Raw genomic sequence first — 26,986 nt, 5'->3', positions numbered from 1 at the left:
GCACTCCAGACTGGGCAACAACAGTGAAACTCCATCTCAAAAAAAAAAAAAAAGAAGTATGTTTTTCAAAAATTACTTCTGAAGGACTAAAGCTCTGTAGTTGATGAAACTATAAAATGTCTATGTATTTGTATGGTGATAGAAACTATACAACACTTTATACCGTTAAATACACATATGAAATTAACATCTTCCTGGTTTCAGATTTCCATAAAATTTATCCTTTTTGTACAATTTGGCAAGGCTAACAGCTATAGAAAACATATTAACCAACCAACCATTGCTTCATTAGAAACTGCACCAAATCCAATGTCAAAAACATTACTTTATTTTTCTAGGATGAAATGTCCTATTACGTACAAAAGAATTGCTGTTTAGAATTTGCCACAATTTGTTAAAAACATAGCAATCTATTGCCTACAGGTAGGAAAGTTCTTGCTGCAACAAATTTTAAATGATTAAGCCCATATATATTTATATATATGAATAAATAGTACAGAAATACTGTGACGTGATGAGATGCAGAATAATTTTATAACTCATTAAAATGTAGAATTCTTGCATCAGCACAGTGCATACAATATGTAACATTTTTTAAAAAAGTAAAAGGACAAAATAACCCATATTTAACTACTTCCATCTTAATACTTTAAGCAAAAATTTTTTCATGTTTTCATATTGAGCGATTAGTCTTTAGTTTGTAAGCATAAGTTTAAGTGACATCTTTATGTACAAAAAGGAATGGGCTTCATTAGATAAAATTAACCCAGAATAACCTGTACACCTGAGCCTGTAATAAGAAAGAATCGGGAACTGTAGCAACATCTTTCTTTTAAGAAACTGAGGTCTGGGAAAGGTTTTGCATAGCAGGGAAACATTAAAAGGAAAGAAACTTTGAAAAACAATAATTAGATAAATTCCAGAAGTTGGTAGGACAAAGCTAATATGAGTTAGTGCAAAATCTAGTAAAAATTTTTGCAAAGCTGCATAATCCAACTATGGCAGATTTTATAGAAGCTATTACCACAATGCAGTGATACAACGTGTAAGAACACTGAAAGGAAAAACATGCAAAATACATCTTCCTCTGTGGTTTCCATTTTCTCGCTACTGTTTACACTACTTTTCCTTACGTGGAAGAAACAAACAAACCAACAAACAGAAAACAAACCCAATCAACAAATAACACAGAGGATGAGGTCATCTAAAAAATGCCCTTCATAAAATATAAGTAGCTGTGTGTAATTGGTAATTTGCCTGGTATCACAGAATGTACAGATGAAGGCAATGTGTATCTTGTCGCATTACCGTTCTCGTTAGTATGATCAACTGATGCAACAGGATTAGCACCCCTGAAGATTTTTCTCTGACGTGATGACAATGGACTGGGAATGATAAAACGAGGGGCCACTGCTGTCCTGGAGAAATCCAGGCACAATTAGACTCTTCTGCCTTTCATGACCTTGCAGGCCTCCCTCCCCACAAAGGCTTACAGATAATCATTAGCGCACATTCAAAGACACCTCTGTCTGTGGGAGAAAAATTATCTCCATTTATTTTGTTTCATATACATCCATAGTTGAATTTTAATACAAAAGAAAAAAATTAGAATCTGACAAATGTTTACAAACAAGATACCTTCAAATAGATTTTACTCATTTTAGCCTGGTGCAGAGTAATTGACAAATTGTACTGTTATATTCAAGGCAACAGAGTCTGTAGTCCAGGACCACTTAGCCCAACCTTTATGCAAGCTTAATTTTAATCTACCATGAACAATAAACTCATTGTTGATTCCCAGTTGTGTGTGTGTGCACATGTGTACATAGCAGCTCCTTTCATAGAAAGAAAAGACATCTAGAGGTCGTCTTGTACTTTTACCTACAGGAATCATGATAAGATACAGATGATTATATGTAACCGGGGCTGGATTTTATAAGAAAAAATAATTAGCTGACAAATGAGGGCAGCAATAAAAAAGCGTCTTTTTTGCAACAATAAATAAATACAGTCAAAAGTTTTCTGTGAGACTCTAAACCAGCTTCTTCACTGAAGAGCAGACGTGGCATTTCCATGGAGTTACACTTGACCCCATAGTATCTTTTTTTCTTGCTTTCTTTTTCTTTTTTTTTCAATAAACAAAGTTTTCTCGCTTCTGCCACAATAGTAAAACCATCTGATCTTGACAAGATAATGGTGTCGTTGACTTTGCTTTTTTCTTGTCCGTTGGACAAAATTGGCCAAGAATATAATTGGACTGTTATGACCAATAAAAACGAAGTTTAGGTCAAGTCTTGTCAGGATAGCCTGACTAAAAACATCTGGCTCCTTAATTTAAAATAGTTCAGACAACCAGATTCTTGCTGTGTTTTATGTTAGGTTAACACGCTGAACTTTAAGAAGCTGTAGACTGCAGTTTGTTGTTATGAGACCTACAGAATATAGAAAAAAGGGAACAATTAAGCACCCTTCATTTTTGAAAACAATGATGCTTTATGCGGATGCCAAGGTCAGTCAGTCTGGGAGAAGCAGCCATGTTCTTTCATTCACCCTTGGCAAGCGAATAGAAAAGAACGATTAAGAAAATTTTAACCTATAATATTAAAACTTTTCACTGTACACTAAACATAATAGCTCACTGGAAAAAGCCAATATTTAAATATATATATATATATATATATATATATATATATATATATTTGTCTAATAAAGATTACAACATTTTCAGCCAACTGGACAAATAGAGGCATTTACAGAAGCATTACCATTGTGGTGAAAGGTGTGTGTGTGTGTGTGTGTGTGTGTGTGTGTGTGTGTTTATTTACATTGATGAGGGGAATATAAAGGGAAAAATTACGCTAAAACAAAAGAAAAAGCAATCTTAAAATCACATTTTTCTATTAAAGTCCAGAAAGTCTCCCTTCTAGTTTCACAGTTTTATTCACAACTTTCATTAGTAAACCAAATTACTGTACAGTTACCAGGACTAAGTCAAAGGACTTTATATTGAAATAGCAGATAAATACAGTATTCCAAGAGTTTACAATTTTTAAATACATTGTTCAACATGGCTGCTAGAGTAAATTTTTTACCACGATACATCTTTAACATTAAAAAATTATATTAACTAATCTGACTTTTTGGGGGGCAATTTTGAATTAGGTAATCACGAGGTACAATAAAACAAAGAGTGACCCCAACATCCAGTTCTGATTCCAGTTAAAAATTCAGACTAAAGATATCACAATCTGTAAGAAAAGAAAGAATATGGATGGTATAAATGATGAATTATAACAAAGTGCAGTAATGAAAACAATGTGCAAACAATGCTGGAGATCATAAAATGGGAAAATATGGCAAAGGAAATTCTGAAAATCCATAAATAAATCAATTTTCAATAACTGGCTAGTTATGTTTCATTCTGCCTTAAATCTGGAAAACAATAGAAATTCCCTAAAAAGGCAACAGCAAGTTGCCCTTATACAACTCTTTACATTGTAATTTTGTTTTGTTTTGTTTTGTTTTGAAACAAGGTCTCACTCTGTAGCACAGTCTGGAGTGCAGTGGCGCAATCACAGCTCACTGCAGCCTCAACCTCCAGGGCTCAGGTGATCCTCCTACCTCAGCCTCCTGGGTAGCTGGGACTACAGGCACATGCCACCATGCCCGGCTAATTTTTTGTATTTTCTGTAGGGATGGGGTTTCCCCATGTTGCCCAGGCTGGTCTCAAACTCCTGGGCTCAAGCGAACTGCCTGCTTTGGCTTCTCAAAGTGTTGGTATCACAGGCATGCACCATTGCACACAGCCTAATTTGTTTATTTAAGCAGAATTGAGCAAACTTCTCAATTCAGCTCCCATGTGCTTTAATGAAAATTATGTCAACTTGAGTATATTTAAAAACTACATAAAATAACCACGTGGCAAGAAGACATCCTAAGTGGCCCCTTCACTGTGCAGGCCCAGCCTAGGCCTCCATCTCTCCTTTACCAATTCCCTTTGTCTTGCCTACAGTCCCCAGGACCTCCAGGCAATTTCCTCTCCTTCATCAGCAGTTGCCAGCAGTCATCCTGTGGGCTCTGCCAGCAAGCTGGCAGCAGGGTAGGATTCACACTCCTTGGCTTCTACCTCACAGTTACCACCAAAGGCCTTCCCAATTTAAAAAAGCAATTTTAGAAACTGAACCAGAGGAATAACCACGATGTACAAATGAAAAAGCATAGAGGGGCTTATAATGAGAAGTTGTGCTCCTCTGTCCTACCTTAACTCCATCTGAAATCCAGGCTCCCTATGATCAATCCCTTTGACTTTTCAGTTCTCTGGGTAGATGTATTTTTCTTTTTGAGATGGAGCCTCAGTGTTGCCCAGGCTGGAGTGCAGTGGCAGGATCTCAGCTCACTGCAACCTCCTCCTCCCAGGTTCAAATGATTCTCCTGCCTCAGCCTCCCCAGTAGCTGGGATTACAGGTGCCTGCCCCCAGGCCCAGCTAATTTTTGTATTTTTAGTAGAGACGAGGTTTTACCATGTTGGCCAGGCTGGTCTTGAACCCCTGACCTCAAGTGATTCACCCACCTCAGCCTCCCACAGTGTTAGGATTACAGGCATAAGCCACCACACCCGGCCTGGGTAGGTTTTTTTTTGTTTGTTTGTTTTCAGACGGAGTCTCACTCTTGTTGCCCAGGCTAGAGTGTAGTGGTGCGATCTGCAACCTCCGCCTCCAAGGTTCAAGTGATTCTCCTGTCTCAGCCTCCCAAGTAGCTGAGACTTATAAGCGTGCACCACCACACCTAGCTAATTTTTTTATTTTAGTGTAGACGGGGTTTCACGATGTTGGCCAGGCTGGTCTTGAACTCCTGACCTTAGGTGATCCGCCCGCCTCGGCCTTCCAAAGGGCTGGGATTACAGGCATGAGCCACTGCGCCCGGCCAGGGTAATTTCTTATACTGCTATTTCTTGTTTTATCAACTTTTGTTTAAGCCCTGCTATGGCAAGGAGAACCAAGCTCACTTAACCATTTCCCAACCTCCCTTTTTTGAGTCCAAGTTTTATTTCCCTATAATTTAAAAATTATATCATTCTATGCTTTGTCTATAGGGTGATTCTAAAAGTCGAAAACCAATGTCATTATTTTTATTATCTTTGAGACGGAGTTTTGCTCTTGTGGCCCAGGCTGGAGTGCAGTGGCGCGGTCTTGGTGCACTGCAACCTCCGTCTCCCAGGTTCAAGTGATTCTGTCTCAGCCTCCTGAGTAGCTGGGATTACAGGCATGTGCAACCACACCTGGCTAATTTTTGTACTTTTAGTAGAGACAGGGTTTCATCATGTTGGCCAGGCTGGTCTCGACTCCTGATCTCAGATGATCCACGTGCCTTGGCCTTCCAAAGTGTTGGTATTACAGATGTAAACCACCGTGCCCGGCCCAATGTCATTATTTACGTTACTACGAAAATGTAAATATTTTTCTCTGTAGCACCTAGTCCTTTGCTAACAGGGCCTTTTTTTTTTTTTTTTTTTTTGAGACAGGGTCTTGTTGTGTCTTCCAGGCTGGAGTGCAGTGGCATGAAGATGGCTCACTGCAGCGTCTACCTCATGGGCTCAATCCTCCCACCTCAGCCTCTGAAGCAGCTGGGACCACAGGTGTACATCACCATGCCTGGCTAATTTTTGTGTTTTGTAAAGATGGGGTTTCCTCATGTTGCCCAGGCTGGTCTAGAATTCCTGGGCTCAAGCATCCTCTTGCCTCAGCCTCTCAATGTGTTGGGATTACAGGCATGAGCCACCGTGCCCAGCTAACAGGGTACACTTACACAACTTTCTGTTTTTAGTGGCGTTTCTAATTGCCTTTCATTTTTATCCCTGACGTTCTTTGGCTTAATCATAGCCTTATGTTTTTCTGTCTTAAACAAATTATCTAATGTATGAGTCATTTTCTTGCTCTACTGAGCCTCTGGGGAGTGCTCCATTCTCCTGCTAGGATTTGGTCTGCTGACATTTTACAGCCTGCTGTATAAATGTCATCTTGGGTCAGAGTAATTCTCATTGCTTTCCTGAACCACTTGTTTTCTGAACTCAAATAAACAAAAATTTCTGGCCGGGCACGGTGGCTCACATCTGTAATCCCAGCACTTTGGGAGGCTGAGGCAGGCGGATCACGAGGTCTGCAGTTTGAGACCGGCTTGGTCAACATGGTGAAACCCCGTCTCTACTAAAAATACAAAAATCAGCTGGGCATGGTGGTGGCTGCCTGTAATCCCAGCTACTTGGGAGGCTGAGGCAGCAGAATTGCTTGAACCCAGGAGGCAGATGTTGCAGCGAGCCGAGATTGTGCCACTGAACTCCAGCCTGGGCAACAGAGTGAGACTCTGTCTCAAAAAAAATATATATATATATATATATTTCTGGCCCAGCACAGTGGTTCACAGCCCCAGCACTTTGGGAGGCCAAGGCTGGTGGGAGGATCGCTTGAGCTCAGGAGTTCAAGATTAGCTTGGGTCATAGCAAGACCCTGTCCCTAAATAAAAAGATACATCATGGCCGGGTGCGGTGGCTCACGCCCGTAATCCCAGCACTTTGGGAGGCCGAGGTGGGCAGAACACCTGAGGTCGGGAGTTTGAGACCAGCCTCACCAACATGGAGAAACCAGGTCTCTACTAAAAATACAAAATTAGCCGGGCGTGGTGGCACATGCCTGTAATCCCAGCTACTAGGGAGGCTGAGGCAAGAGAACCACTTGAATCCGGGAGGTGGGGCTTGTGGTGAGCCGAGATCGCGCCATTGCACTCCAGCCTGGGCAACAAGAGTGAAACTCCGTCTCAAAAAAAAAAAAGATACTTTTTTTTTTTGAGATGGAATCTCCCTCTGTCGCCCAAGCTGGAGTGCAGTGGCGCCTTCTCGGCTCACAGCAAGCTCCGCCTCCCAGATTCAAGTGATTCTCTTGCCTCAGCCTCCCTAGTAGCTGGGATTACAGGCATGTGCCACCACGCCCAGCTAATTTTTTTGTATTTTTAGTAGAGACGGGGTTTCACCGTGTTAGCCAGGATGGTCTCCATCTCCTGACCTCGTGATCCGCCCGCCTCGGCCTCCCAAAGTGCTGGGATTACAGGAAGATACATTATTAAAAGGAAAAAATTTGTTTCCTTATTTTTGACAGCACACTTTTTTTTTTTCTTCTGAGATGGAGTCTCACTCTGACACCAAGGCTGGAATGCAGTGGCGCAATCTCAGCTCACTGCAGCCTGTGCCTCCCGGGTTCAAGCGATTCTCATGCCTCAGCCTCCTGTGTAGCTGAGACTACAGGCGTGCACCATTATGCCTGCCTAATTTTTGTATTTTAAGGAGAGATGGGGTTTTGCCATGTTGGTCTGGATGGTCTTGAACTGCTGACCTCAAGTGATCCACCCACCTTGGCCTCCCAAAGTGCTGGGATTACAGGCGTGAGCCACCATGCCTGGCCAATAGCACACACTTTTTAAAAATACCTGCCAAGAAAGGATGCCCTGAGTCCTCACATGACTGAAAATATATTTATTCTGCCTCTAAACTTGACTGGCTGCACAGACTTCTAGGCTGACAATCATTTTTTCTTAAACTTTTAGATTTATTCTTCCATAATCTTCTAGCACTAAATGTCACAGCAGAAAAATCTGACACCAATCTAATTCTTGTTTTATAGATTGTCGGTTTTATCTAAGAGTTTCTTTTATTCTTAGCATTTGGAAATTTTATAGCGATGTATGTAGGGGTGAGTCTTTTTCCATTTGTCTACCTGGTTTATGATGTTTATCAACTGTCCCCCTTGCTCCACCCACCCCTCATAGAGTGCAGGGGCTTTAATTTATTCACTGCTAAATTCCCAGTATCAGGCACACATCAGGTTCTCAAAAGTTATTTGCTGAGTGAAGGAATTTATTCTGCTAGAATTTAAAGTCCTGTGACAATCATCAGCTCAGGAAATTCTTCTTTTATTCTTATTTTTTTTTTTTTTTTTTTTTTTTTTTTTTGAGACAGGGTCTCACTCTGTCACTCAGGTTGGAGAGCAGTGGTGTAATCACAGCTCACGGCAGCCTTGAACTCCTGGGCACAAGTGATCGTCCTGTCACAGCCTCCTGAGTAGCTAGGACTACAGGTGCATGCCACTATGCCTGGTTAATTTTTTAAATTTTTGTAGAGACATGGTCTCATTATGTTGACAAGGCTGGGATGTTCCCCCCACCTCCTGTGAGAGTCTCATTGTCACCCAGGCTGGAATGCAGTGGTGTGATCTTGGCTCACTGCAACCTCCGCCTCCCAAGTTCAAGTGATTCTTGTGCCTCGGCCTCCCAAGTAGCTGAGATTACATGCGTGCGTCACCACACCTGGCTAATTTTTGTATTTTTGGTAGAGACGGGGTTTCCCCATGTTGGCCAGTCTGGGCTCGAACTCCTGACCTCAGGTGATCTGCCTGCCTTGGCCTCCCAAAGTGTTGGGATTACAGGCGTGAGCCACTATGCCCGGCCACTTCTTGAATTTTCAAAAAAAGACTTTAAGTAGATCAACAACAAACCCAGCAATTTGTCCACTTCTCCTTGGCAGTAGATCATAACCCTGGAGTCTTGATTTATTTATTTTTTTTTTAAAGATATTTAAGGTTAAATTTACCATAAACTGCACTGGTTGAATCGTTAGACAGAATAGTATAAAGAGTGTGAAGAGTTGAATTAATTCAGAATACCGAACCCATCTGCTCACCTGCTAGCTTTGAAGCCTTTCAATTTCTGTACAAAGAATGATTCGAGAACTTCTGCACACTGGTAAAATGGGGAGTCACTTGGATTGTAGTAACGACAGTTATCAAAAATTTTGGTCATATCTGCCACAAATTCCGTCAGCTTTTCATAATATCGTCTTTGTACTCTTTCTTCCATGGTGGCAAGGTCTTAAAAACACAAAATGTAAAACATTTTCAGAGCTTTAAGGTTTTTCCAATGTGAATATTCTCCGAAGTTCTAACAAGTATATATGTTTACTGTGCAAGCAGTCCTGGAGCCAGGCTGGTTCACCCTGGAGGTTATTTTGCAATTCATAAAGAACAAAAGAGTACTTTTCCAATTTTGTTTCTGATTGAGGTTCTAAAATATAAATCCGGGTTGCTGTTAAGGTTCTTTTACTTTCAGGTAACTGCACAGAACCGTTCTTCATTCAAATGGTTTGAAATCAAGGAAACACACCGACATGCTCTATGCATATCTAAGTATAATGCATTTTTACATGCAAACCATTTAGTGTATGTACAAAGATGGGAATCCAGAATTAAGAACAAAATCTCTGTACTAGTGGCTTTATGATCCTGGTATTAGACTTTAATAACATCATTTTGCTTTATTTTTATTGTTACCTTTTATTTGTGACAAAGTGATACTGTCTTACCATTCATGACTGGATTGATAAGTGTCCACTTAAATGTAAGGGAAAAATATCAGCTGATACGAATATTAGTATGTAATAGTACAGGCAATATGCAGAAAGGAGAAAATCATTATGGTGATAGATGGGTGTGATATTGTGAAATATATATTTGGTTTTTGTCCCCATTTCCTGACACTTAGCTCCTAACACGGTTGGAATCTCCGGAGTGATAAGAGTTTCTTTTATATGTTAATGACTGGTGGTTGGAATTCCCTAGATAGCTTCAGGATTGGGGCTGGTCACCGGAAAGACCTAGTCAGGATTGGAGGGTTGGGACTTTTAGTCCCATCCCCCAACCTCCGGAAGGGGAGAGGGGCTGAAGGTTAAGCTGATCACCAATGGCCAATGATGTAATCACTCATGCCTACGTAATGAAGCTTTCCTAAAAACCCAGAAGGACCGGGTTCGGAGAGCTTCCTGATACAGCTGAACATGTGGAGGCAACTGTCAGGTGGTGTGCCCAGAGAGGGCATGGGAGACTCCACACCCCTCCCCACAGCATTGCCCCGTGCATCTTCTCCACCTGGTGTTCATCGGAATCCTTTGCAGTGTCCTTGAGAAACCGGTAAGCCTAAGTAGGTGTTTCCCTGAGTTCTGTGAGCTGCTCCTGCAAATTACTGAACCTTAGGAGAGGTTTGTGGGAACCCTGATTTATAGCCAGATGGTCAGACGTGCAGGTAAAACCACCTGGGGCTGGCGACCGGCATCTGAAGAGGGGGTAATCTTGGGGACTGAGTACCCAACCTGTGGGATCTAACCCTATCTTCAGGTAGATAGTGTCAGAATTGAATTGAATTGAATTAGAAGACACTCAGGTGGGGTCTGAGGCTGGATTGGTTGTTCATGGGGAGAAATCCCCACCCACTTCTTGCTGACCAGAGGCCGCCAAACAGAATTCTCCCACGTTGACCGTAGCGTGAGAGCACAGGAAAACAAGTTTGTTTTTTTTTTTGCTGTAGAGCAGGCAACTGCTTTGGAATGTACTGACTGAAATAAATCTATCTGAAACAACATTGATCCTAGGAGAACGACGTGTTTGAAATAAAATTCTGTATACAATTTGACATAAATATCTGAGAGAGTGAAAGGCCAGTAATCTCCAATCAATCTAGGGTAGACAGACAACACATTTCAAACTAAAGGTTAGTGAATATTTTAGAATTTGAAAGTGATTTGGAAGTTCAACCAATAAATAAAAGTACTAGAATACCTAAGAAATATCTGAAAAGTAATGAGATAATCTTATCTGTCAGACATTAAAAAATATTCTAAAGCTGTGGTAATGAAAAGTGTGGCAGCATGCAGAACAACACAAACACTAACGCAGACAAGTTCAAAACAGGAACAGATTTAACTGTATCTAGTATAAGAATTTCACATATATTAAGGGTGTCCCTTCAAGTCAGTAGGGAAAGGAGTTCATTCATAAATGAGGTTGCGGCTGGGGTGGCTCACGTCTGTAATCCTAGCAGTTTGGGAGGCCGAGGTGGGCGTATCATCCAAGGTCATGAGTTCCGAGACCACCCTGGCCAACACAGCGAAACCCTGTCTCTACTAAAAATGCAAAAATAAGCCAGGCATGGTGGCACATGCCTTTAATCCCAGCTACTAGGGAGGCTGAGGGGAGAATCCCTTGAACCCAGGAGGTGGAGGCTGCAGTGAGCCAAGATCGCACCACTGCACTCACCACTGCTTGTGCAACAGAGCCAGACAATGTCTCAAAAAACAAAAACAAAAAAAGGGTTTGGGGCAACTGCCTACAAATCTGGAAAAAAAAATTCTCTCTCATTATATGCCAAGATAATTGTGGGTTTATTAAAATGATTAAAATGGCAAATTTTGTTATATATATATTTTATTTTTTTTTCTTGAGACAGTCTCGCTCTGTCGCCCAGGCTGGAGTGCAGTGGCGGGATCTTAGCTCACTGCAAGCTCCACCTCCCGGGTTCAGGCCATTCTCCTGCCTCAGCCTCTGGAGTAGCTAGGACTACAGGCATCTGCCACCATGCCTTGCTAATTTTTTGTATTTTTAGTAGAGACGGGGTTTCACCGTGTTAGCCAGGATGGTCTCAATCTCCTGACCTCGTGATCCTCCTGCCTCGGCCTCCCAAAGTGCTGGGATTACAGGCGTGAGCCACCGTGCCTGGCCTTATATATATATATTATATATATATTTATATATATATAAAATATATATATATATAAATATATATATTTTAGTACACACACAGACACACTACTCTTTGAAAGCTCCAGTTTATGCAGTTAAAGAAAAAAAATGTGTAAATGTGAAGAACTGTGAAAACACACAGAGTTGGATTCCAAGACTTGGCACATCGATGCTGTAGGTTCATGTAAGGTGTTCAGGAAAGAACGCACACATCACACTAGGACATTCTTGGTTCATACTTATATTATGTTCTGGTTACTTACTGCTTGACTAATTTTCATTTTAATAAAGTATGTGAATAATGCTTGGACATTGTATGGTTCCAAGTTAATTAGGTATCCCTTAAGGTACTAGGAGAACACATAGGTGAGTATATATTATGGAGGAGGAAAAAGACTCCAAGCATGACACCAAAGGCTGAGTTTATAATGATTAATAGATATGACTCCAAAAAATGTTAAAAACTACCATATGCCAAAAAATCTATGAAACTTTTACTTGTCTTTAGTATATAAATAGCCCTTAAATAGCCAGACGCAGTGGCTCACATCTGTAATCCCAGCACTTTGGAAGGCAGAGGCGGACGGATTACCTGAGGTCAAGAGTTCGAGACCAGCCTGGTCAACCAACATGGTGAAACCCCGTCTCTACTAAAAATACAGAAATTAGCTGGGTAGGTATGGTGGTGGGCGCCTGTAATCCCAGCTACTTGGGAGGCTGAGGTGGAAGAATCGGTTGAACCCGGGTGGCAGAGGTTGCAGTGATTCAAGATCACGACACTGCACTCCAGCCTGGGTGACAGAGTGAGATTCCTTCTCAAAAAAAATAAAATAATAAAATAAAAGCCCTTAAATAATACTGATAACAATCCAAATATCTCGAGAGAAAAATATAAGAAATATGTGAATAGGAAACTCTTACATAAAAACACTTTCTTTGCCAAATTAGCAGAAATTAAAAATGGTAACACTGGCCTATTAACAGAGGTTAACTATAGGGGACACTATAGGAGTAGTGGTAAATATTACATTTTACATCTCTGTAACATCTGCATTTGTACACCATAAAACACACTACTTTTGAAATAAATATTCTCAAAGACAAAAAATATACCCCTCAAAAGAGTGATAATACTCAGTGTTTTCCAATAGCGCAGACAGAATGCCATAGATATACACTATTAGTGGAAGCTGGTTCAATTTGCTAACGTGTAATTTTTTTCTTCTCTTTTTTTTTTTTTTTTTGAGATGGAGTCTCACTCTATTGCCCAGGCTGAAGTGCAGTGGCATGATCTCAGATCACTGCAACGCAACGATCTTGGCTCACTGCAACCTCTGCCTCTTGGGTTCAAGCAATTCTCCTGACTCAGCTTCCTGAGTAGCTGGGATTACAGGCACACACCACCATGCCCGACTAATTTTGGTATTTTTAGTAGAGACGGGGTTTCGCCATGTTGGCCAGGCTGGTCTTGAACTCTTGAACTCATGATCCGCCTGCCTCAGCCTCCCAAAGGGCTGGGATTACAGGCATGAGCCACCGTGCCCGGCCCTAAAGTGTAATTTAAAAATAACTCTTTTTTTTTTTTTTTAAAGACAGCGTCTCACTTTGTAGCCCATGCTGAAGTGTGGAGGTGTCACAGTGATGAGCCACCTTGCCTGGCCTGGACATTGTTTTTAAAAAAAAGCCTAAAATGGGCCAGGTGCGGTGGCTCACGCCTATAATCCCAGCACTTTGGGAGGGCAAGGCAGGTGGATCCCTTGAGGTCAGGAGTTCGAGATCAGCCTGGCCAACATGGTGAAACCCTGATTCTACCAAAAATACAAAAATTAGCTGGGTGTGGTGGCGCATGCCTGTAATCCCAGATACTCAGAAGGCTGAGGCAGGAGAATTGCTTGAACCCGGGAGGCTGAGGTTGCAGTGAGCCGAGATAGCGCCACTGCACTCCAGCCTGGGCGGTCCATCTCAAAAAACAAACAAACAAAAAAAGTATACTACATCCCCGCTACTCAGAAGGCTGAGGTGGGAGAATCAGCTGTACCTGGGAGGACGAGGATGCAGTCAGCTGGTGATGGCGCCACTGCACTCCAGCCTGGGCAGAACAACAACAGCAAAGCCTAAAATGTACTTAGACCCTTTCACCTGGAGACTGTTTTCTTAGAACAAACAAGTACAGGCAGATGTATAAACAAAGATGTCCAGTGGCATGTTGTTTATACTAGCAAAAACTACACACAATAAAAAAATCTATTGATGGGGGCTGTTAATTTTAATTTCATATAATTTAAAATGATGTAGGTCTATAACAGCTGATGTGAAAAAGTATTAAGTTTACAAAATACATTAGCAAACATAATTCATTTAAACCTATTTCTATTTAAGAATATAAAAGTTGCTGATTTTGTTGGTTCCCTTATATCCTCAAAGAAAATTACTATTTTCAATTTAGTCTATATTGTTCCAGACATTTTCTATGCATTTCTAAACACATTTAGGTACTCTTAGAAAATAAATGTTTACTGCTTAAAATCTGGGTACTGCTCTGTAACTTTCACTTCTTTTCCCAACAATACGTTTTAGAGATCTATATTATTATCTTTATGTACCTACTTAGGAGATATAGGAGATTATGTTTAACTTAGTATGTATGTATATATGTATTTTATTATTACGTTTGTGGGACAAGGTCTCGCTTGTTGCCTAGGCTCGAGTACAGTAGTGCGATTATGGCTCGCTGCAGCCTCCACCTCCCAGCTGAAGTGATCGTCCTGCCTCAGTCTCTCGGGCTGGGACCACAGGCATGAGGCACCATGCCTGGCTAAATTTTTTTTTTTTTTTGAGATGGAGTTTCACTCTTGCTGCCCAGGCTGGAGGAGTGCAATGGCGTGATCTCAGCTCACCGCAACCTCCACCTCCCAGGTTCAAGCAATTCTCCTGTCTCAGCCTCCTAAGTAGCTGGGATTACAGGCATGTGCCACCACGCCTGGCTACTTTTGTATTTTTAGTAGAGACAGGGTTTCGCCATGTTGGTCAGGCTGGTCTTGAACTCCCAACCTCAGGTGATCTGCCTGCCTCGGCCTCCCAAAGTGCTATGATTACAGGCATGAGCCACTGCGCCCAGCCATTTTTTGTTTTTATTTATTTATTTGACACGGAGTTTCACTCTTGTTCCACAGGCTGGAGTGCAATGGTGCGATCTTGGCTTACCACAACCTCTGCCTCCTGGGTTCAAGCGATTCTCCTGCCTCAGCCTCCTGAGCATTTTTTGTTTTTTTGTAAAGACAGGATCTCACTATGTTGCCCAGGCTGGTATTAAAATCCTGGGCTCAAGCTATCCACCTGCCTTGGCCAAAGTGCTGGGGGAACCACCATTTGGGGCTTATCTTGGTATTAAAAAAAACAAAAACAAACAGGAAAACCAGGTCTTCAAGAAAATAATTTTGGTTAAATAAGCTAAGGTATATTCAACTAATGGACCATAAAAACCCATTAAAATCATGGGTTTTCGAAGAAGATTTACATAGGAAAATGTATTCACTGTATGATATGAATTTTAACACCCATGCATACAAGAACACACCAAAAGCAATGGCTATCTCTTTTTTTTTTTTTTTTTTTTTTTGGAGACAGAGTTTTTCTCTGTTGCCCAGGCTGGAGTGCAGTGGCGCGATCTTGTCTCACAGCAACCTCTGCCTCTCAGGTTCAACTGATTTTTGTGCCTCAGCCTCCTTAGTAGCTGGGTACAGGCACCCGCCACCACACCCAGCTAATTTTTGTATTTTTTTTTTGTAGTAGAGATGAGGTTTCACCATGTTGGCCAGGCTGGTCTTGAACTCCTGATCTCAAGCAATCTGCCTGCCTCAGCCTCCCAAAGTGCTGGGATTATAGGCATGAGCCACTGCGCCTGGCCTTGGCTGATTCAAAAAAATTTTTTTTGGAGAGACAGGGTTTTGCCATGTTGTCCAGGCTGGTCTTGAACTCCTGGGCTCAAGCCATCTGCTTGTCTCGGCCTGTGAAAGTGCTGGGGTTACAGGCATGAGCCACTGTGCCTGGCCTATCTTCTTTATTTATTTTGTTTATTTTTTATTTTTTTGAGATGGAGTTTCGCTTTTGTTACCCAGGCTGGAGTGCAATGGCGCGATCTCGGCTCAATGCAACCTCTGCCTTCCAGGTTCAAGCAATTCTCCGCCTCAGCCTCCCGAGCAGCTAGGATTATAGGCATGTGCCACCACGCCGGGCTAATTTTGTATAGTATTTATTTTCTAAATTTTCTTTCTTTTTTTTTTTTGAGACGTGTCTCGCTCTGTCAGCCAGGCTAGAGCGCAGTGGCACAATCTTGGCTCACTGCAAGCTCCACCTCCCGGGTTCACGTCATTCTCCTGCCTCAGCCTCCTGAGTAGCTGGGACTACAGGTGCCCGCCACCACACCCGGCTAATTTTTTGTATTTTTAGTAGAGACGGGCTAACACGGGGTTTCACCGTGTTAGCCAGGATGGTCTCGATCTCCTGACCTCGTGATCCACCCACCTCAGCCTCCCAAAGTGCTGGTATTACAGGCGTGAGCCACCGCACCTGACCTTATTTTATGAATTTTCTACCATTAACTTGTATTATTACTTCTATTACCAGCATAATTAACTTATTATTTTAGTAAACATCCCAGGTACTTTCTCAAAGGCGACTACCCAAATTTGAAATATGTACAATGATTAACTCCTTCTATTTTCAACATCAGGAGAACAGAGATAATAACTACTTCATTACGTTTATTTTTCAGAGATAGTTTTCATTTATTTCCACTTCATGTTTCCCCCTCTTTCATGCTGCCATGAAACACAAACTCTTCTCATTAAAAAAAATGCTTAGCTGGCTTTTGGAACATAATTCTTTCATTAGTGGTAAGTGATCCTTTGGAAGGTTTTAGCTATGTTTTAATTTTTCTAATTTCTTTTGCAGATAAATTATTTTTTAGTAAAATCATTTGTAGCCATTCGTGTTGATACGATTACTCGTGGCTCCTATTACCATTTTTTTTTCTGGGAAATGAGGGTATTCTCTCTAGTTCATAAAATTTACTCTCCTTCAGAAAAAGAAGAAGTAAATGGAGAAGGATGAGAGGATCAAAGAGACCCCAACCCATTCATTAATTTCATTCATTCTTTTATAAAGCTGCATAATACTCCACTCAGACACCATCTGATATAGCTACTCCTCTATTGATGGCTACTTATTTCATTTCCAATCTTTTTTTTTTTTTTGACAGAGTCTCGCTCTGTCGTCCAGGCTGGAATGCAGTGGCGTGATCTCAGCTCACTGCAACCTCTGCCTCCCGGGTTCAAGTGATTCTTGTGCCTCAGCCTCCTTAGCAGCTGGGATTACAAATGCCTGCCACCACAACTGGCTAATTTTTCTATTTTTGTAGAGACGTATTTCGCCATGTTGGCCAGGCTGGTCTCGAACTCCTGACCTCAGGTGATCCATCCACCTTGGCCTCCGGAAGTGCTGGGATTCCAGCGTGAGCCACCCCGCCATTTCCAATGTTTTTGTAATTATAAACACTGCCACAATGAACATACTTGTGCACATGTAAATCCTAAGAAATGAAACTGCTGGGTTCAAGAATATGCACAATTGGCCGGGTATGGTGGCTCACACTTGTAATCCCAGCACTTTGGGGAGGCCGAGGGGGAGCGGATCACAAGGTCAGGAGATTGAGACCATCCTGGCCAACATGGTGAAACCCTGTCTCTACAAAAAATATAAAAATTAGCTGGGTATGGTGGTGCATGCCTGTAGTCCCAGCTACTCGGGAGGCTGAGGCAGGAGAATTGCTTGAACCTGGGAGGCGGAGGTTGTAGTGATGTGAGATCGCGCTAGTACACTCCAGCCTGGCGACAAAGCAAGACATCGTCTCATTAAAAAAAGAAAAAAAAAGTATGCACAATTAAACTTTATTTTATTTATTTATTTATTTTTTTGAGACAGTCTCATTTTCTTGCCAGGTTAGAGTGCAGTGGCGCGATCTCTGTTCACTGCAACCTCCGCCTCCCTGGTTCAAGCGATTCTCCTGCCTCAGCCTCCTGAGTAGCTGGGAATACAGGCATGCACCACCATGCCCAGCTAATTTTTGTATTTTTAGTAGAGATGGGGTTTCACCATGTTGGCCAGGATAGTCTCGATCTCCTGACCTCATGATCCGCCTGTCTCGGCCTCCCAAAGTGCTGGGATTACAGGCGTGAGCCACCGCACCCGGCCACAATTAAACTTTAATAGATACTAACAATTTACCCTCCAAAGTGACCATACCAATTTATACCCCCACCAGCCTTGCTAAAAATATTCTAAGATATTAATTTTATGGATAATAAAACATCCACTGAGACTTCTGAAAAACTTCATATTCAACTCATGTACTTACCCATAGGTTCCTTAATAACACCATAATAATCTGGTGCATCATTAGGGTCTACTGGTTCAAGGAAAGGCCAGGCCATCTTATGGGCCTATAATGAAAAAGCAGCATCATTATTGTCAGTGAAAACACTAATTCCATTTAAGTTTCCTGGTTGAGTTACTACATCAATGAACCCAAAAGTGAGTTTTAAATTTGATACATGAAATATTTTATATTAAGTGATTTCTGCTCTAGTAATAGTTACCTAAGATGAGCTTCCTCTACAATAATGGTACTCAAAGGCTGGTCAGAAGACTTTGTGTTGGGAATGGAGCACAAGCTTAGAAGTCACAAAATCAGTATTCTGGGCCCTACATGATGAGCCGTCACTGAGTGATGCTGGCATTGCAATCGCTTCTGTCAACAGGTGGGATGGGTTCAAAGTGTGGAATCATTACCACAGCTGGTTAATGATGAGGTAGCAGAGACGTGATGTTAGATAACATTCAAGCACACATTGAGACTATGATTCTCTTTTTAGTTACTTCAATTCTTCTGATTATGATAACGACAGGAGAAAGTTTCAATCCAGTGCACTATATCCTTTTATTTCCCCCCACTTTTTTGAGACAGGGTCTCGCTCTGTCATTCAGGCTGGTGTCGAGTGGCGTGATCATAGCTCACTGTAACCTCCTGTGCTCAAGTGATCCTCTCACCTCAGCCTCCCAAGTAGCTGGGATTACAAGTGCGTGCCAACATGTGCAGCTCATTTTTTTTTAATGTTTTGTAGAGGTGGGGGTCTCACTTTGTTGCCCAGGTTGGTCTCTAACTCGTCAACTCAAGTGATCCTCCTGCCCTGGCCTCCCAAAGTGTTGGGATTATAGATGTGAGCAACCACACTGGCTTTCTGTGTCTTCAGTACATCTGTATCACTTGATAATCCTGCAAACCATCCCTATCCTGTTATTCTTTTTGTTCTGAGATGGAGTCTCACACTGTCACCTGGGCTAGAGTGCCGTGGCTCGATCTTGGCTCACTGCAACCTCTGCCTCCCGGGTTCAAGAGATTCTCCTGCCTCAGCCTCCTTAGTAGCTGGGATTACAGGTGTGCACCACCGTACCTGGCTGATTTTTAAAAAATTTTTTTGTAGAGATGGGGTCTCACTTTGCTGCCCAGGTTGGTCTCTAACTCATTGACTCAAGTGATCCTCCTGCCTTGGCCTCCCACAGTGCTGGGATTATAGGTGTGAGCAACCACACTGGCTTTCTATGTCTTCAATATATCTCTATCACTTGCTAATCCTGCAAACCATCTCGATCCCGTTTTTCTTTTTTTTCTGAGACAGAGTCTCACACTGTCACCTGGGCTAGAGTGCCGTGGCTCGATCTTGGCTCACTGCAACCTCCGCCTCCCGGGTTCAAGCTATTCTCCTACCTCAGCCTCCCTAGTAGTTGGGATTACTGGTGCGCCCCACCGCACCTGGCTAATTTTTTGTATTTTTAGTAGAGAGATGGGGTTTCATCCTTTTGGCCAGTCTGGTCTCGAACTCCTGACCTTGTGATCCACCCGCCTCAGCCTCCCCAAGTGCTGGGATTACAGGTGTTAGCCACCACGCCCAGTCCCCTTTTTGTTTTTCATAAGGAAAAGAATAACTATAATCTTTTTTTTTTTTTTTTTTTTTTGCGATGGAGTCTCACACTCTCGCCCAGGTTGGAGTGCAGTGGCGCCATCTCGGCTCACTGCAAGCTCTGCCTCCCGGGTTCATGCCATTCTCCTGCCTCAACCTCCGGAGTAGCTAGGACTACAGGCGCCCGCCACCACGCCCAGCTAATTTTTTGTATTTTTAGTAGAGACGGGGTTTCACCGTGTTAGCCAGGATGGTCTGATCTCCTGACCTTGTGATCCGCCCACCTTGGCCTCCCAAAGTGCTGGGATTACAGGCATGAGCCACCATGCCCGGCCAAGAACAACTATAATCTAATCATACTGCTTCTCAATCCATGGGGGTGAGAGGAAGTCTCCTTAAAAATAAAATGTATAAAGAAGTGAGTCATGTTAACACTCTTGTGAGTGTGAGATAAGCTGACGTGGTGTGGGGATATGGTAAAGCTCATGGCACTGGTACGTGAAGGACTGCAGTTTGTTAGGCACTTCACTAGACTAGCTGGGAGTCAGTAAATAATCATTCTAAGATTGGAAACTTGAAATCCTAGAAATGCTTCCAAAATTATGCTGGCTGATTTCATTTTGAAATGCTGCACACAGAGGGGTCTCACCTGTAAGGAACGGAGCACCCTCTTCAACCCCTCATAATCCTTCTCTGTTAGTGGCGTGAGCACTGTCATGGCATCCTCTGTTGACTGGCACTGTGGACAGACATACTCATCAATGAGCTCTGCCTCACTTTGCAAGATGCCAACGCAGCGCCCATGGTACCAATTCTGACACCGATCACAGCCAATATAAAATCTGCAAGATCCGAAATGGAAATGTGAGTTCAAAACACATGGGATGATGTTACTTATAATAAAGCATGCACCTGAAAATTTGCTAAACCCTGGGATATAAAATAGTTTTAGTATTATGGTTTTAATACTTTCAAGATTGACATTCCAGTTCATTAATTTAGTATTTTTGATGTTAAGAACAAGCAGTAAAAAAATTTATAAGAACACTGTGTAATACTGGAGAACCAATTTAAAGATAAATATGAAACATTCAATTGATTTTAAAGCTGAAAACAAAGCCAAAAATCTTTCAACTAGTACTGTACCATATGGGTGTTCAAAATCCTATAAGCTAATAACAGAGTCTCAGAGCTTGTACCCAAATTAGTGTTTTTCTAACCTACAATAAAGCACCATTTCAAACACTGATAAAGTCCAAACAAGTCAGGCTATTTTAATCTCATTAATTTCTATGTTACATATTGAAGAATCAAATCTACCATTAAACCACATTTTCCCCAATGTGTCTCAAACATTCACTATGAAGCAAGATAAATTTTGAAGGGTAGGTAAAAAGGGAAAAAGAGAAAAATGAAAAGGAATTTGTAATGTAAGTGTATAATAAATGTAGAAAAAAATCTGCTTTTTATTTTAAAATAAATAAGTAACCAGTCAGAGCAATTTGGCTTCCTAAATTATTAAATATGATGCTCTTATCAGAACTCACTGTGACTCATCATAAGGTGTTCTGCAGATACAGTACAATTCCTCACTGCTGCCCTCTTGTGCCCGTTTACAATCATTACAGATGTACACATCCATTTTCTTAGCCTCCTTTTCTGTGATGCCAACACATTCTCCATGATACCAGTTAGTACAAAGATCACAGCCAATATAGAACCTAAAAGTATTCACAATGAAAATGACAATGTAATTGTCATTTTGAGCTGCATGGTACTTAAATCTGTCTTCCCTGCCTTGATTCACTTTTTTACAGTGTAACTTCCTGCAATGAGTCAGCTAAACATTTCTGAATCCAACCATTCTACTCCTGGCAAACTCCAGTATCTGATGCTCTATCACATGTGGAAACATAAAGTCACTCACATCAGTTTCAACAAGTACACTGCTTAGTGAAATATGGGTCTTTAAAAACATACTGGAATTTGAAAAAAGAAACAACACATTGATGGTAATGTCTTCCTCTGAATGAATGTGTGTAAAACTGTAACAGGCACAAAAACCAAAGCCAAAGAATCAAAGACTTACATCTGTCAAACCTATTCCACAGAAGCCATTTCAATATCAGGGCTATTTCTTAGATAGGTTTGAAAATGTATCTCACAATTTAAATTTGAAAACAAAGCAAAGCGCAAACACCAAGTAGAAGTTACACTACAAGGAACATGCAGGTCAGCCAGGTGTAGAAGATAAATGGTCAAAATATGATATGAAGAAGAAAACTAAGAAAGTACATAGAGTAATTCAATCTCTACCAGGTTTTCTGAATAAACATTGGAATTTAATCGAATTAAAAATAACCTCTCATAATGGAATATGGCACGGGCCAGTTTTCCTGTTAATATAATGTTTGTGACAATGTGGGCAGTGGCCTGGCTAACTAACGGGCAGGGAACGTGGAAGGAGATGCTTCAGTTCAACACCGGGGACAAGGTGTGGAGAATGATGCAAGGATAGTTATCCAAAGCCTGTGAGGGTCTACACTGCTTGGCAAGGGGGAGCTGTGTAAATGTGTGATTGTGGAGAGCAGAGTGGCCTCTGTAACAAAAGACCTAATGACAAAAGGAAAAGTAAATGTAACAAACGCTTACACAGTGTGTCTATAAGTGTTGATAGGCACTGTGTAGGAACACCATGTCAAAGTCATAGTGAGAATTACCATGAATCACAGGGAACCAGACTGGCCTTGCTGATACCATTGGCACTCTTAGTTCTACCAAGGCATTTCTTGGCAGATTCACCTAGAGGAATGGAAGTCGTCCTCAAGCTTCAAATTGACCTGCTTCATGAATGTGAAGGAATAATATATGGTTATGTAGTTTATCCTGTTACCACTAACTTTTTTCTTTTTTTCTTTTGTCTCGCTGTATAGCCCAGGCTGCAGAGCAGGGGCAGGATCACGGCCCCCTGCAGCCTGGACCTCCCAGGCTCATGTGATCCTCCCACCTCAGCCTCCCGAGTAGCTGGGGCTATAGGCATGCGCCACCAGGCCCGGCTTTTTTTCTTTTCTTTTTTTTTTTTGACAGAGCTTTGCTCTGTCTCCCAGGCTGGAGTACAGTGGCATGATCTCGGCTCACTGCAACCTCAGTCTCCCGGGTTCAAGCGATTCTCCTGACTCGGCCTCCCGAGTAGCTGGGATTACAGGTGTGTGCCACCACATCTGGCTAATTTTTGCATTTTTAGTAGAGACAGGGTTTTGCCATGTTGGCCAGGCTGATCTCGAACTCCTGACCTCAGGTGATCCGTCCACCTCGGCCTCCCAAAGTGTTGGGATTACAGGCATTAGCCACCACGCCTGGCCAATTTTTTGTACAGACGGGGTCTCTCTATGTTGCCCAGACTGGTCTCAAACACCTGGGCTCAAGTGATCCTCCCACTTCGGCCTCCCAAAGTGCTGAGATTACAGGTATGAGCCACGGTGCCCAGCACTTTTTTCTTTTGAACTATGACTCTCACATGATTTTCACTGCCACAGGTGGGGGTCCTCTGAGATAGTTTGTGTGTTATCTCCACAGGGTGATAGGCTGTGTTCTGGAAGGATGTTCAGGACTTGAATTTCAGTTTTCAGTCACTCTCACTGGATTCCCAAACCAGCCTAGTTTGGGACAAGAGATTACGAAACACTCCTTAGAAACACTAACTCATCTCAACTAAAATAGGGAGTGAATGAACCTGGTATACTAAAGTGTTAATAATGACAAAATGAAAAATATAAAATAACACAAAATAATGAGGCAATCTCGATGGAATGGGCACATGTATCTGTGTGCCTCATTTTATGCAATGTAGGTATTTCAAAGAAGTTGTGTGTGAAATCAATTTCTGTGATCTGAATACTCTAAACAGGCCAAAGAAGCCTTGTTATTTAAAGAAATTCTGTAAACAAATCTTTTTAACTGAAAAAGTAAGGAAACTCCTGTTTCAGAAATCATTTAGTATATTTTGCTTAAAGTGAGGCACACTTGTATTAAACTAAAGTAAAAAAAAATCAGTGAATCACGTTCTACTGTTTACATTATGTATAATTTCCAATGAGATAAGATAATGAAAAGTGAAGATGCCTAAATTGATTTCTGTTTAATTCAGCACACAGCTCAATCTGCCAACAAAGAGTTTTCATTTGGCATTTGCAAACAGATTATCATTTAGATAGCACCACCAAAGCAGCTTCAATGTTGCAACTTGAACATCATTAAAGGGACCACAATTTTATTTTAGGAATCAATTAGGTATCCACTTAAGGTAGGCATTAAGCATTCCTAATTCTAATTAATTGATTCTAAATGATCAGTTTTTAAAGCACAATCAGACTTTTTGGTCCTGTAAAAAGTATGGTGGTTAACTGTGGCTTTAAAAAGCTGGACTACATTTTAATGTTCAAAGTAGAAGTTAAATATTTTGTAAAATGATAGTAATGACCAAAAAAATGAAACTACATTTACGGTTTAGTGCCTCTATAATCTTGTTTATATCACCAAATACAAGTCACAACTGTCAAAAACAGCTTCCAGCTGCCAAACTGTTGGACGTTATGCTTGAGGAATGGGGGAAAGGAACACTTTTTGTATTTTTCTGGCTTTTGTCTCTGATAAGAAAGTGGAAACTTTGACAAAAATATGAGTTGCAGTATTTTAATACAAAAAAAAACAACTGCTTAAAATAAAACAATTAAGAAACCGAACCACTCAAATTCAAAACCTCTGACCATTCATGTTCAACTGGTTTCCAGGATTTCATGTATTCGCAGGGCTTTGAACAGATCCCAGAAAGGATGCTCTCCATTTTGGGCAACAGTAATACACCTCCTTCTCCAGACATCAATTACTCACTGATTTGGAGTTAATTCAGAGGGAAGAAGAGAAAGCAAAGGAGCAACAGAAAGCTTGTTTTTGACAGAAAAGAATATAACAAAGGACAATCACAAACACGTGAAATAGCAAATTTTACTTTACTAGCGTCAATGGTAAGAATATCACATGCAAGACCATGGATGAAACATTACTCTTAAATTTAATATTTTCATTTATATCACTCCCAAAATATTCATTTTCTTCAAAATCCAATTTAATAGCTAAACTTTCAAGACAAAAAACTAGAGCTCAAAAAGATCTACTCACTTAGATTCATCATAAGGCGTTTTACAGATACAGTAAAGCTTTGTGTCCTTCTTAGTTTCCTTTGAGGTAGTAGAGATCATTTTCTTTTTCTTGGACTTTGAGCTGGAGTCTTTTTCCTCTTCCCGCTTCCTCTTCTGGGAAGCAGCAGGTAAGGTGGGCGTGGACAGAAGGCCTGTGTGTTGCACAGCAGGTGGAGGGGGAGGTGAAGGTGGAGGGGCTGGAGGGGCTGGAGGAGCTGGTGTCACTGGGGGGCAGGGTGCAGCTACTGCTGTGGCCTGAGCCAACTGCATCAGGTCTTTTTCTTTCTTAATTTTCAGGTCTCTCTTCAGCTCTTCCTGTTATCAATTAAAGACAATACAAGACTATCATTAGAGTCATGTAAATGTGTGATCTGGCCAGAAGATGGTACACTACCCACTCTTGTCAAAGTAGCTCCACAGTTCAGCCTAACGTGAGAGTTTTAGTTAGTTGCAAACAAGAGTTTTCTTATATCTTAAACCCAACTAAGACAACTAGAAACAAAATGAAGACTAGGTAAGAACAACTAGAAAGCTGCTAGTTATCTTCAAAGGAGAGCTGACTGAAAGATGAGCCAAGTGGCTAGGAAGAGCGTCCCTCCTGGCTTGCCCCTGTCCCATCTGGGCTCTTTCTGTGGTTGCTCAGAAGGTGATTTCAAGCATCCTCTCTCACTGGCTGCTTTCTTCTAGTTGCTCTTGCTCTCTGTCCTTACAGTGAGACTGGACATGAACTGGCCTTGAGACTCAAAATGTGGTCTGACCAGCATAAAGCAGAAAAGAGGCAGATTTGCCTTATTTATTATGATGCTCCTATGTCTAGAATTTCAGACTGCAGGGAGAGTAGTGCAACATAACGCACTATTTTCTTTTTTTAAAAGATAACTTTCTTTTCATATATATATTTTTTGAGATGCAGTTTCGCTCTTGTCAATGGTGCAATCTCAGCTCACTGCAACTTATGTCTCCTGGGTTCAGGCAATTCTCCTGCCTCAGCCTCCCAAGTAGCTGGGATTACAGGCGTGCAACACCACACCCAGCTAATTTTTTTGTATTTTTAGTAGAAACGGGGTTTCGCCATGTTGGCCAGGCTGGTTGCAAACTCCTGACCTCAGGTGATCCACCCGCCTCGGCCTCCCAAAGTGCTTTGTTGCCTAGGCTGGAGTGCAGTGGCACAATCTCAGCGCACTCCAACCTCCCCACCTCCTGGGTTCAAGTGATTCTCCTGCCTCAGCCTCCCAACTAGCTAGGATTACAGGCACCCACCACCATACCCAGCTAATTTTTTGTATTTTTAGTAGGGACAGAGTTTCATTATGTTGGCTAGGCTGGTGTTGAACTCCTGACCTCAGGCAATCCACCCACCTTAGACTTCCAAAGTCCTGGGATTACAGGTGTGAGCCACACTGCCTGGCCCCTTTTCATATATTTTTTAAAAAGTTTTAATGAGCAGTGAGGACAACCAGAGGTCACTTTCATCGCCATCTTGGTTTTGGCCAGCTTCTTTACTGTACTCTGTTTTTTCTTTTTGAGAGTGGGTCTCACTCTGTCACCCAGGCTAGAGTGCAGTGGCACAGTCTTGGCTCACTGTACCCTTCACCTCCCAGGCTCAAGTGATCCTCCCACCTCAGCCTCCCAAGTACCTAGCTAGGACCACAGGCACGTGCCACCAAACTCAGCTAATTTTTGTATTTTTGGTAGAGATGGGGTTTCACCATGTTGGCCAGGCTGGTCTCGAACTCCTGACCTCAAGTGACCTGCCTCGGCCTTCCAAAGTGTTGGGATTACAGGCGTGAGCCTCTGTGTCTGGCCAACATACTACTTCCTCAATATGCATTTGCCATACTTTTTAAGCACACCTCTTCTGCTATCTAGTGGTACAACTTACTCTTGGAAATGATCAAAGCAAACCTTATTACCCTAGGAACAAACCCATTGTGATTGGCATCCACAAACAAACTTGGTGTAAAGAAATCATAGCTATGACCAAGAGTATTTCTTATGTGGAGACAGTGTCTCACTTTGTCACCCTGCCTGGACTGCAGTGACATAAACACGGCTTGCTGTAGCCTTGACCTGCCAGGCTCAAGTGATCCTCCCACCTCAACCCCTTCAAGTAGCTACAGGTGCTCACTACCATGCCCAGCTAATTTTTTTGAGGAGA

General features: G+C 41.8%; 1 protein-coding gene and 1 pseudogene across 49 annotated transcripts in view; both read right to left on the bottom strand.

Moving 5' to 3' along the window:
- The window catches only part of BPTF (bromodomain PHD finger transcription factor), a 158,876-nt gene continuing 132,195 nt past the window's right edge, over positions 306-26,986 (bottom strand). For 27 of the 49 annotated variants that reach the window (XM_005257150.4, XM_005257159.3, XM_005257153.4 and 24 more), the window contains 6 exons: positions 24,809-25,143; positions 21,178-21,351; positions 20,280-20,472; positions 18,028-18,112; positions 8,726-8,912; positions 306-2,432 (listed from right to left, as the gene is read on the bottom strand). In XM_005257150.4, coding sequence (XP_005257207.1) covers positions 2,396-2,432; positions 8,726-8,912; positions 18,028-18,112; positions 20,280-20,472; positions 21,178-21,351; positions 24,809-25,143 — 1,011 coding nt within the window. In that variant the 3' untranslated portion in view covers positions 306-2,395. Of the gene's footprint in view, positions 3,249-8,725; positions 8,913-18,027; positions 18,113-20,279; positions 20,473-21,177; positions 21,352-24,808; positions 25,144-26,986 lie in introns of all 49 variants that reach the window. The other 22 variants (XM_005257154.4, XM_005257161.4, XM_047435597.1 and 19 more) reach the window with 4 other exon arrangements.
- Positions 6,712-6,986, bottom strand: RN7SL622P (RNA, 7SL, cytoplasmic 622, pseudogene; annotated as a pseudogene).

This window comes from Homo sapiens, chromosome 17 (assembly GCF_000001405.40).
Source record: "Homo sapiens chromosome 17, GRCh38.p14 Primary Assembly".
Classification (NCBI taxonomy): domain Eukaryota; kingdom Metazoa; phylum Chordata; class Mammalia; order Primates; family Hominidae; genus Homo; species Homo sapiens.
Note: the sequence above shows the minus strand (reverse complement) of the source record. Positions and strands in the feature narration are given on the sequence as shown.